This window comes from Homo sapiens, chromosome 18, assembly GCF_000001405.40.
Source record: "Homo sapiens chromosome 18, GRCh38.p14 Primary Assembly".
NCBI lineage: Eukaryota > Metazoa > Chordata > Mammalia > Primates > Hominidae > Homo > Homo sapiens.
Window position 1 is genome coordinate 22,826,074 of NC_000018.10, and position 13,284 is coordinate 22,839,357.

Consider the following 13,284-nt stretch of genomic DNA (forward strand, 5'->3'; position numbering starts at 1 on the left):
ATTTGACAAAATGTTGGCACACTGGCAAAAACTACATTTATAGTCATACTGTTTCTAGCTTCATCTTTGGAGTCTAGCCATTGAGACACACCTATCTTTGTTAAAGATTTTACAGATACTCATAAAGGCTAAAAAATACTCATCTTTTAGCAAAAGCACAACCTCTTGCAGATTTTGGAAGCATGAATCTATTAATGCTTTTTTAATAAAAGAAGTATTAAAGAGAGGTAGGATCTATAGCTGCTCTAGTGGGAAACTTAAAAAGTAATTAAAGAACAATCAATCAGTAGATTTACTAACCCACACCTTTCTCTGAAAAGTATCACTTTATTTTGAAGCCTTATATATCTCAATAGAAAAGTGAAATAGAGAATTGAACATTTAGTCTGTCAGTTATTCAACAGGACCTCAATGTAGGGGTGTGTGTGTGTGTGTGTGTTGGCGATGGGGGACATGCCTGCAGGAATGACATCATTCTGCTTTTCTCCTCAAAATATTACCTGGAAGAACATAGCTTTACATTAACCATGCCAACACCCGCTCATAAGAGTCCTCCCTCCTACCCAGGGAAAAGTGCTAAGCAAGAAATGATTTGCTTTAAATACTGCCAAGGTTGAGTATCTAAGGACTGGTTCAAGTTGCACATCCAGCAAGGAAGCAGGCTTGAGGCAAGTACAAGCATCTGAGGAAAACACAGGAAGGCTTTTTGACAACCCCGTTGGGGATTTTTTCAAAAAGACTTGCAAGATGCCAAGTTAATCTTGAGGCTTCTTGCCTCACTTCCTTTTATGTCCTTCCCTGAACAGTTCTTGTATAAACTTGTCCTCGGGATGTCTTTCCGCCTCCTATAAACTCCCACCTCTGGGTAGCCTTGGCACCTCTGCCTTACCCCAAGGCCTTGAATTACTTGCCTATTTCCACATCTCCATGCTTTAAAAAAACTTCCCTTCAAGGTAGGAATGCAAGATACACCACATTCTCCTTTCTGAGTCAGATGGAGATGGTGGTCATTTCCAGGCCAAGTCGACTTTCACTCAGGCTATATCCCCTTTTTCACAGAACTTCCTCCCCTCTGGAAATGAGGATAAACTACCTTGACAATTAATTACCTGGAGAAGGCCAAGTGAGAGACTCAATCTTTTGAAGAACCAGTTCCCAGATCATTTTGATTTGGAGCAAAACCCTGAACCGAATCCACAGCGAGAAAAGCCAGCATGTCATGCTGCAAGTTGCACTTCTCCAAGTGCTGCTAGCTACCAATATGTCTTAGTCTGCTCAGGCTGCTATAACAAAATACCACAGACTGGATGGCTTACGCAACACATACTTGTTTCTCTTTTTTTGCAATATGGATAAGTTGAGAATTTTCCAGTCTGCAAGTTCTGCTTCTGGAATTGCTTAACAATTCCTTCTTTAATTCATCTCTGTCTTCTCATAGTTTACTATCAGTAGTCAGGAGGAACCAAGCCACTTTTTCCACACTTTGCTTAGAAATCTCCTCAGCTAAGTATCCAATTTCATTGCTTACATGTTCTACCTTCCACAAAACACTAGCACATAAACACAATTAATTGAAATTTTTGCCACACTATAACAAGGATTACCTTTCCTCTAGTTTCCAATATCATGTTCCTCACTTCTCCTGAGACCTCACCAGAATGGCCTTTAATGTCCACATTTCTATCAACAGTTTATGATTATTTATGTATTCTCTAAGAAAACAAAAACTTTATCTCCAGCTTTCCTATTTTCTTTCTGAGCCCTTACCAGAATCGCCCTTATGTGCACCTCAAAACTCTTCCAGTCTCTACCTGTTGCCCAATTCCAAAGCTGCTTCCTCATGTTTAAGTATTTGTTGCAGGGGCATTCTCTCCTTGACTCCATCTGACCACTTCCTCTCCCAATTTCCTTGTTCCCCAACTGACAGTAATTCTCTTAGTTTTCCATAATCACTCTCTTTATCCTTTCATCTCCCATTATTTGTGGAACACACTCTAGTCTAACTCTTGTACCCTGATTCCACTGAAACCAATCTTTTCATTGGTAAAGATCTCCTTCTTGCCAAATTCAAGAAACAATTTTTAATTTTCATCTTACTCATCCTCTCAGCAGCATGAGACATAGTTGATTACTTCATTTTATTGAATCACTTATTTTTGGGTTATTGTTGGCTTCCACAACATATATTTCCCTGTTTTATTTCTTATCTCACCAGCTACCTCCTTCTCAGTCTTATTCACTGGGTCTTTCTATTCTTACTGAAATGGAAAAGGTGAAATACCCAAGAGCTGAGTCCTCAGATTTCTCTTCTTTATTTGCTTTCCTCCCTAGGTGATCTCATCTAGAGTCATGGCTTTAAATAACATCTAGTCAAAATCACATCTCACAGAAGTCTTTCTTCCTCATCAGTTTCTTACCCTGTTTTGTTTTTCTTCATGGCAATTATCAGGGATCTAGAACTAGAAATACCGTTTGACCCAGCCATCCCATTACTGGGTATATACCCAAAGGATTATAAATCATGCTGCTATAAAGACACATGCACACGTATGTTTATTGCAGCACTATTCACAATAGCAAAGACTTGGAACCAACCCAAATGTCCAACAGTGATAGACTGGATTAAGAAAATGTGGCACATATACACCATGGAATACTATGCAGCCATAAAAAATGATGAGTTCATGTCTTTGTAGGGACATGGATGAAGCTGGAAACCATCATTCTCAGCAAACTATCGCAAGGACAAAAAACCAAACACCGCATGTTCTCACTCATAGGTGGAATTGAACAATGAGAACACATGAACACAGGAAGGGGAACATCACACACCGAGGCCTGTTGTGGGGTGGGGGGAGGCGGGAGGGATAGCATTAGGAGATATACCTAATGTTAAATGACGAGTTAATGGGTGCAGCACACCAACATGGCACATGTATATATATGTAACCAACCTGCACGTTGTGCACATGTACCCTAAAACTTAAAGTATAATAAAAAAAAAGAAATTATATATGTATATATTTAAACTTATTTATTGTCTTCCCCATGAGAACAGGAATCTTGTTTGTTTTGTTCTCTGGCATATCCTCAGAAACTAGAACAGTACCTGGCACATAACAGGCTCTTAAAAATATTTAATAAATGGATGCTATGAAGAGGCTTTCATAGTTTTTTTTTTTAATTCTTACCTCCTAAAAGATAAGAACAATTGTTTCAGTCCCTATCCAACTCCAGTTGTGCACCAGATCTTGTCCCCTTTCTTCTACTTAAGGACTTTGCTCCTGAAATCATCCACTTTCTCTTTTTGCATCATCAGTCTTCTCTTTACTCATCATACTTTCTTTATGCTACAATATGTCCCATTATACTTATCATGTTTTCCTATATTATTTATATCTTTATTGATTTATTTTCTCTTGTTCCCTTATAATGTAAGCAATATCAGGACAAGTACATTATTTTATTCACTGGTGTATCCCCAGCACTAGAATAGTAGTAGCAAGCATTCAATAGATGTTCTATAATAAATCAAATGGATTTAAATACTGGTTTGCTTATATGTCTCTCCCACTAGAAGCTATGTTCTTTTAAAATAAGGACCACGTTTTATTCCATTTAAATCCCCTTTGCCTAGCACAATGCCTAGTAAGTGTTCAATCTATTTATGAATAAGTGTATAAATGAGTATACAACTTAACAGCAAGCATGAGGATGTTCAGTAGCCCTCAGGAAAGATGGCTAACAAAAAGTTGAGACTGTCATTGTAATGAAAAAATAAAAAGTCTATTGAAATAATCTGGGCTCCAGAGACGGCAGGAGACTCAGACCAACTAATCTTGGGATTCCCTTAGCTAGAGCAATGGTTTCAGGTATGGACCTCCAACAGAGTCACACCTTTTAGGACAAAGACAAGTGTGTTCTTGTCTCCTGGAACACAAGCTGAGAGGATGTCTGGAGTCCCTGCCACCATCTGACTACCACGTAAAATCTGAGACTAAAGAAAACACTACAGAAGATAGAACCAGGAAATAGAGAAACCAAATTCTGAAGGTACTGCTTGAGCTCTGAATTTAGTACTGCCTTAATTTAGTCTACTCCCTAGACTTTTTAATTATGTAAGTCAATAACATTGTTTTTTGCTTAAACTGGTTTGAACTGAGGATTTCGTCACCTGCTACAGAAAAAAAATATTTGACTGATTCTAGATCTTTAAAAATTAGATTCCTGGGTCCCAATGTCAGATATTCTGAATGATTATGTCTAGGCCTTGAAATCTGTTTTTTAACAAGATCCCCAACAGTATCTATTATGTTCTCGGTTGCAAGCAGCAGAAATAAAAGTCTAGCAGAGCCAAAGTAAAAATAATTTAAAAGACATTAGAAAAGATAAAAAAAAAAAAAGGACATTAGGCAGCTTACAAAATCAAGGAGGTATTAAGGAGGTATGGAAAGGAAGGCTTGGAGCTACACAGTCAAGAACAAAGCCCAAAAGTCATGCTGCCAAACTCATCTTGTGAAGTAGTCATGGGTGCTACCAAAAAGCACCAAACATTATGGCTTGTACAACTGCCCCTAGGAGCTTAATCTTGGGGCAACCACCACTTCCTCTAGCATTACTGCCACTGCTACCCTGCTATATAACCTAGTTATCCAATATAACCTATATAATCTAGTGATTCAATTCCCATGTGCTAAAGGTTAGAACAACCTGAAAGAAAATTATTATCCTCACATGTACTGGGAATTTGACATAATATATGGCATACTTACCGAAAAGTTGGTAAGGAAAATTTTTTGGAATCTTATAGTAGAATTAAACATGAAACCCTTTTTCTATAACCTGTTGTGTCTTTAGCATGAGGGTAAAAGATTTTCCTCTCCTCTCACAGGGACATTTGTCCTCAGCAATGCTATTCAAATTAACCGAAAAGCTGGTAAGGAAAATTTTTTGGAATCTTACAGTAGAATTAAACATCAAACCCTTTTTCTATAACCTGTTGTGTCTTTAGCATAAGGGTAAAAGATTTTCCTCTCCTTTCACAGGGACATTTGTCCTCAGCAATGCTATTCAAATTATTCCAGCCAAATAACGTCCCATTTCTGATGATCCATTGCCTTGCATTGCTATTTGTCTATATTTCCTCACAGTCTTAACAGAATTCTGAAAAAAAGTGAGTTTGACCTCCTCATTAAGCTCCCTACTATGGCATGTGACAGGCATGCTCCCTGTTTCCTCCAACATGCAACCCGTTACCCACTATCAGCTTTAAGCCAGAAACATGGTGAAAATTCTCAGGTGATGGGTCAGATCAAGAATGAAGACTTTTTGGGCCCTTTTGCCACAACAAAATCTGTTTCTCAGTGTGGCACCTGGACAGCCAACAAAGTCCCAGGAGAGGAACCATTTTCTCACATATCCTTTTATGCACAGTGACCCACGTGCTGATTAGTAACCTGCAAGCACTTCCTTGATCACTCACAATACTTTTGGTTATAACCACTGCCTCTACCCTATACCTCATTTGATTATTGCATAGTACCACTGATGGATGCTGTTGCAATCCCCCTTTCCCCTTTGACAGTTTATTTCAGTGGCTCCCACACACAGCTAAGGCTCTGAGTCACTGTCTGTCTGTTTTTCCATTGCATAAGCTCAGAGGAGGGCTTTGCAAGTGTTTGATGCTGGGGCTTTTACCCTCACCTTGGTTGTATCCCTTTGGAACATTGCTAGAAGATATCCCTCCTGAGCACTGAACCTGTGCCAGCCTTTTGTCTCTTTTCTGATCTTTGCTCTCTGAGTCCTGGGACTTCCTCCAATAGTCTCTTTTGTTATGTTTGGGTTATATTACTTCATGTATAATTATATTTGCATAGTTCTTTTCCGGTAGTAGCAAGAGCAAGGGGAGGTCTCCTTTATCCAAAAACCTGTGTCTCCTTAGAGACCTACAGGAGGCTCGGGATACTCTACAATGAGCACATTTCATATCTTACTTTAGTCAAACTGCAAGATATATTAGATTTATCGAACCATAGAGACAGAGGTATCTAGGAGGTTTCTTAGTTATTTTCCCCTGTAAGAAAACAGAAATTCAGAAAGGGAAGTTATTTTCTCAGAGATAAACAGCTATTGACAAACAAATCTGGGACTAGAACCCAAATTCAGGATACTTTCTTCTTTACTAATCTGAATTTTCTTCTAGAGTTTTTCCTTTTTCGACCATGTGTAACCTTTCTGTAAGAGACTGTCTTTGCATATAGTTACTTAATGGGTGATTTAATGACAGGGAAAGAAGAATGGAAATATCCAAGAAGGCTTTATACAATAATGTGGTAGACAAAGACATCCATATCCTATTCCATAGAACCTGTTTTTTTCTTTTTTCTTTTTCTTTGCTTCTAACACACCAAGCACATATAGAACCTGTTAATATATTCCCCTACAGAGCAAAAGAAATTTTGCAGATCTAATTAAGAATCCTTGAGGTGGGAGATTATCCTGGACTATATGAAGGGGCCCATGTAATAACAAAGGTCCTTTCAAGTGAAAGAGACAGGCAAGAGAGTCAGAATCAGAGAAGAAGATGTGACAGTAGAAACAATATTAGAGTGATGGGATGTGAGGACTCAAATCTTCCATCGTTGGCTTTAAAGATGAAAGGTGAACACAAGCCAAAAATTGTGGGGCAGCCACTATAAACTGAAAAGGCAAGGAAATGTATTCTCCATGCCTTTCTAGAAGGAATGTAATCCTGACAATATTTATTTTAACCCAGTGAACTCCCTTTGGACTTCTGACTCCAGAACTGTAAGATAATAAATTTGTATTGTTTTAAGCCAATAAGTTTGTGGTAATTTGTCACAGCAGTAGTAGGAAATATGGTTTTAGAAGTAAATCTAATATAAAACCACAATAATAATGGTTATGTCGCATTTTATATGTGACAGGCATTATGCTACACCCATAGTGTCCATTACCTCATTAAATCCTTGGAATAATTCTAAGGCCAGATAATAACATTATTCCTCTGTTATGGTTGAGGAAAATGAGAATTTTCTCACTTGCCCAGCCACTCATTAGTAACTATTAGAGTGAAGAGTTTGTCAGATTTTCAAGTGTATATTCTTAACCATCATGCTATATTTTCTCCTTAAAAATATTATTTGATCTATTTTGTACAAAAAGAATATCCAAGAGCCCCATAGTTGACTTTTGCTTCAGGAAATGATGAAGTAACCAACACCAGGTTAACCCAAGCACAACCTAAAGAAAACATGAAATGACTGTTTTCAGTTATTGGGCAGACAGCACAATACTGTGATCAGCAAGAAAAGGGAAACAAATGAGGAGAGCCCTATAATCATCCTGGATTTCTGTCTGAAGACAATTCTTTTTACTGTGATTTGGAGAGTAGGATATCAAGCTGAGCATAGCAGTCTTTCTGAATTAAGACAGAATCAGAATTCAGGAAAACTGAAGAACAAAGTACGAAAAAGAAGTCTTGTGTACAAGGTCTGTGTACAGAAAGACTTCCGAAAATATGCACAGGAATTCTCTTATTTCTGAATACCAAGTCACACTTGCCTAAAGTTAAATTTCATGAGGTATGGAAAAAGTGACCAGAGAACAGTAAGCTGAAAATGTCTGATCACAAAAGGGCTGGGAAATGTTTGTGTTCTAACCATCAGAATGGGGAGTTCTTATTAAATACCTAGGCATTCAGTAGACATCCAGAAAGGTGACACATTAATGACAAAACTAAACTAGGCTTAAACTAAGGCTATTCTAAAATCACTCTAACAAAGCTTATAAAGAATTCTCAAAAATGATCCATATATATGCAAATAATTTAAATGGCTGCTGAACAAAGCCCAACACTCTTTAAGGAATATAAAAAAATATGGTAAGGAACTGGACATGGTGGCTCACACCTGTAATCCCAGCACTTTGGGTGGCCAAGGCAGGCAGATTGCTTGAGTCCTGGAGTTCCAAACCAGCCTGGGCAACATGGCAAAACCCTGTCTCTACAAAAAGTACAAAAATTAGCCAGGTGTGGTGGTGTGCACTTGTAGTCCTAGCTACTTGAGAAGCTGAGGTGGGAGGATCGCTTGAGCCTAGGAGGTAAAGGTTGCAGTGGGCCGAGATTGCACCAATTCACTCCAGCCTGGGGGAAAGAGCAAGACCCCATCTCAAAAGAAAAAAAAATCAGTATGCTACAATGTAAAGATCAAAACGTCCAACATTAGTCAAAAATTACTAGACATGCCAAGAAGGAAGAAAATGTGACCCACTTCAGAAGAAAAATTGATCAACTGAAACAGACCTGTAAATGACAGAAATGATAGAATTAAGACAAGGAATTTCAAATAGCTATTATATATATATGAAAGTATTTAAAGAAAAGCAGGAACCTAACAAGAAGATAAAATCAATAAATTAAAATAAATGAAAACTCCTAAAGAAGAAAAAGATAGACTCCAAATGAAAAATTCTCTAAGTGGGATGAAGAGCAGAAAAGACCCTGTGGAAGAAAACATCAATAAACTTTAAGTACAGTAACAGAGACTATCCAAACTGAAGTACAAAAAAAAAAGACAGACAAAAAAAAAAAAGCCTCAGTCATCTGTGACAATATTGAATGGGCTAACCTAAGTGTAACTGAATTATTAGGATAAGGGTTTAAGGATGTAGGAAAATGTGATGAAATCATGACCAAAACTTTGTAAAATTTTATGAAAACTCTAAGCATACAGACTCAGGAAGCTCAACGAACACCAAAGAGAATAAACATAGAAAACTATTCCAAGGTATATCAGAATCAAATAGCTACAAAGTAAGTGACTAATAGAAAATCTTAAAAGCTACCAGGGGAAAAAAGACATAGTACATACAGATGAATAAAGATAATAATGGAAGCAGATGTCTTGATAGAAACTATGCAAACTAGAATATAACAAATGGCATTTTTAAACTTTAAAACGGTGAAAGAAAACTGTTAACCATGTCTTCTATTTACAGCAAAAAATGTCCTTCAAAAATGAAGACAAAGTAAAGAGTTCATAAGACAGACAAAAGCTGAGACAATACCCAGAAGACTTATACTACAAGAAACACTAAAGAAAGTTTCTCACACTGAAGGAAAATAATATCTGATGGAAACTTGAATCTACACAAAGGAATAAAGATTGTCAAAAAGGGTAAATAAATGATTAAATATAAAGGATACTTTCTCTTTTTTTAGTTTCTTTTTTTAATAGAGATGTGGTCTCACTTATATTGCCCAGGCTGGTCTCAAACTCCTGGGCTCAAGCAATCTTCCTGCCTCAGTCTCCCAAAGTGCTGGGATTACAGGCGTATGCCACTGTACCCTGTACTTTATTAACTTCTTCAAAAGATAATTGAACTAAAGCAAAAAAAAAATAACTCCATATTTGGGGCATGTGATATATGTAAAAGTAAAATGTATGACAACTGCACAAAGGACAATAGGAAAGAAATATAATTATACTTTTATAAAGATCTTACATTATATGTGAGGTAATATAATGTGAAGTTAGACTGCCACAATGTAGAAATGCATAGGAAACACTAAAGTAACCACTAAAAAATAAAACAGAATGCAGCAAAATAGGGATAAAGCAGAATTCTTAAAAATATGCACTTAGTTTAAAATAAGGCAGAAAAAGAAGAAAAATGGTACACAGAACCTGGAACACACAGAACAAATAGAAAACAAATAGCAGTATGGAGGGACACAGAGCTTCAGAGACCGGTGGGACACCAGCAAGAATACTAACATATGCGTAATGAGAAAAGAGGAAAAGGGCAGAAAGAATATCTGAAAAAATAATGGCTGAAAACTTCCCAATTTTGATGAAAGACACATATCCAAGAGGCTCAATGGGATTCTTGAGTGTGAATCCACATCCAAGCAGCTCAATAAACTCCAAGTAGGATAAACTATAAGATTCACAGAGACACATTGCAATCAAATCGTTGAAAGCCAAAGACACAGCAAGAATCTTGAAAGCAGCAAGAGAGAAGTAATCTGTCATAAACAAAGGATCCTCAATAAAGGTCAACAGCTAGTTTCTCATTAGAAACGATGGAGACCAGAAGGCATTGAGAGGACTTATTTATAGTGATGAAAAAAAATGTCAACCAAGAATTCTAAATATGACAAAACTACTTTTCATAAATGAAGGCGAAATTAAGACATTCCCTGATAAACAAAAGTTTAGAGAGTTCATCACTTAGACATTCCCTACAAGAAATACTAAAGGGATTCTTTCAAGCCAAAACAGAAGTCATGCTAGATAGTAACCCAAAGTCATATGAAAAAATAAAGAAATAAAGAACTCCAGTGAAAGTAACTATATAAATATAAAAGGCAATATTATTTTATTTTTGGTTTATAACTTCTTTTTAATTTTCTTTATAATTTAAAAGCCAAGTACATGAACAATCATTATAATTCTGTGTTAATGGGTACACAATAATTTTGTGACAATAACAATATAAAAAAGGTGGAGCTGTAAAGAGGCAAAGTTTTCATATCAAATTGAAGCTAGGTTGGTATCAATTCAAACGAGGTTATGAACATAAGATTTTTAATTATAATCCTCATGGTAACCACAATGAAAATAACTAAAAATATATACAAAAAAGGAAATAAGGAGAGAGTCAAAATGATACACTAGAAAAAAAAATCAACACAAGACAAAGTAGTATTGAAGGAAATTAGGAATATTAAAAAATGGCATATAGAAAACAAATAGAAAAATGTCAGAAGTAGTCCTTTCTTATCAAGTAATCACTTTAAATATCAATGGATTAAACTCACCATTGAAAGACAGAGACTGGCAGAACAGATTAAAAACAATAATTCAACTATATGCTGCTACAGGAATCTCACTTTAGATTCAAGACAGTTTTTGTCCTAAACTAGAAGCAAATAGTTGTTATTCATTAAGATGGGGAATACTGTATGTGGGTATGTGAGGCCTGAGAAGGATTAGATTTGAGATATCTATCAGACATTCCAGTGAAGATACTGAAGAGGTTGGATATATGAGTCTGAAGTTCAGGGGAAAAGTCCAACCTGGAGATAAAGACTTAGAGTCACCATCATATATTTGCTATTTTAAGCTCTGGGAATAAATGAAATCTAAAGAGAGAGTGTGTATAGGTAAAAGAAAAGGTCCAAAACCTGATTTCTGGGTCATTTCAATATTAACAGTTTGGGAACAAGGGTAGAAATCAGTTCAGGAAACACAAATAGTGGCTCATGAGGTAGGAAAATTAGGAAAGCCAAATGATGAAAGTGTTTTAAGGAAAACATATCAATTCTACTAAAGGCTGCTCTGTCATTTTCTCTCAGGTCTGGTGTGGGACATTCTCTCGCCTCATAATTGATGTTTTCTCCTCAGATGGTTGTTTGTTATTCAACCTAGGGGCTTGTATATAAGAAACAGTCATAATGGGTTACTCATGGTTCTAATTGTGTGTGTGTGTGTGTGTGTGTGTGTGTGTGTGTGTGTGTGTGTGTGTAATTATAGCCCGATAGAGATAGAATGGGAAAATCATAGACTATGGAACCAGTCCTAGCTCTACCATTTCCAGCTCTACCATTTCCATACAGCTATATGAACTTGGGAAAATTTCTTAACTACTTAACTTCTCTCAGCTCCAGTTCTCTCAGCCCCTTGGGAAAATTTCTTACCTCCTCTCAGTTCCTTGTGTGTACAATAAGACGAATAATATTGCACCTATCTCATAGTCTACTGTCAGAATTAAATGACTTTCTATATGTAATGATACTATAAGATCTGAAGAAAGATTAATTACTAGTCCCTTCCTGACATATGAGAAGATACCCATGACTTTATGTTCCCTCAGCTGCTGAATTGAATATCAGCTGCTGAGCGGCCTTCCTTCCTCTGGATTATAATGGTTTTATTTTTTACAATTATTCTAAATGCTAATATTTAGAAGGTAATTATTAGACTTGTTCTATGAGAACTCCTTTTGGAAAAGTAAATATTTTTTAAACAAGGTTGCTTTGACACAAAATAGGTGGGAAGGGAGGGGAAGAGATGAGAAAAAGAAAAATATAAATGGGTCCACTTGGAGCAATGAAGATCAAAGTAACTCTTTGAATGTAAAAAGAATGTAGATTCTAAATCAAAGTCCCCTTGCCAACAGTATCACAGCTTTTATCTCCTTTTCTTAACTCCTGTTCATCCAACCTCTTTCCATATCTTTTATCCCTACTAGCATTTCTTCCCTATAACATGAAAAATGTTACAATTGCTCTTCCCATTCCAAAAGCATGAATAAAGCATGAGGACCTTCACATGGAATTTACTTGCTGTATATGTGGTGATTTTTTTGTTTGGATTAAGTTGTATTTCTAATGGAGAGGGGGTGGAAGTATAACCGAGTACCCCCATTTTTCTAAGTGAAAGAGAGTAAGTTACTTTTTAAAAATTATTTTCTCTTCTTTTTTCTCCATTTCCCCTTCTTCCCCACTTCCTACTTAGCCCTCTGGAAGTGCAATTATAACTTTCTACCTCCTTTTCACCAGATGCTCCCTACAGAACAAGTTCATCTAACTATGTACTTAGAAGCTCCAGAAAGGAACTCTCCCCCACCTGGAGACTGCCTCACAAAATAACAGTCGATTTACACCCACAATGTGTCCACCACAAAATTCGCTCCCACCAGGAGACTGCCTTGAGAGATAACAATCAATTTACAGCCCAAAGTACCCCTGCTACGAAACTCTCTCCCACCTGGAGAGTTTTCAACCACTCTTACAACCTATTTCTGCCCATGAAAACACCAGCTGCCTGGCAGATAAGGCACTGAAGTGAGTATGTGGACCACTCCCCCACCACCCTGCTCATTTCTGCCCCTTCATAAGCTCCCCTTTAAAAGCACTCACTTTCTGCTCCAAAAGCGAAGCCACACCCTTAAGGCAGGAAGCCTGTACTTCTTCCCCTAAGCTAGTTTCAGAATAAAAAATCACTTTCTTTATACTAGATCTCGCTCTTGTTAATCAGACTCTGAAAGCAGAGATTGACTGAACCTGCATTTCAGTTACAGAAAGGAAACGTAATTGTAGGCAGAGAGGCTCATGAGATGAAACCGTCTGACAGCCAGAACCCTCCTAGAAAACTAAGGTGATTAAATCTTTAAGGCAGTCTTCTCAATCTCTTTAGAACTGTTTTTTTTCAATATACCTCCTTGCTTACACAATTTGAATTACCAATAAAAATAAAT

General features: G+C 36.9%; 2 long non-coding RNA genes across 2 annotated transcripts in view; one reads left to right on the forward strand and one right to left on the reverse strand.

Annotated features, from left to right (window-relative positions):
- LOC124904263 (uncharacterized) overlaps window positions 1-10,097 on the forward strand; it is a 37,941-nt gene extending 27,844 nt beyond the window's left edge. The window contains exon 2 of the long non-coding RNA XR_007066308.1: window positions 9,019-10,097. This is a non-coding gene — a long non-coding RNA (uncharacterized LOC124904263). The remainder of the gene's footprint in view (window positions 1-9,018) is intronic.
- RBBP8-AS1 (RBBP8 antisense RNA 1) overlaps window positions 1-13,284 on the reverse strand; it is a 210,274-nt gene that overhangs the window by 102,583 nt on the left and 94,407 nt on the right. The window lies entirely within an intron of this gene.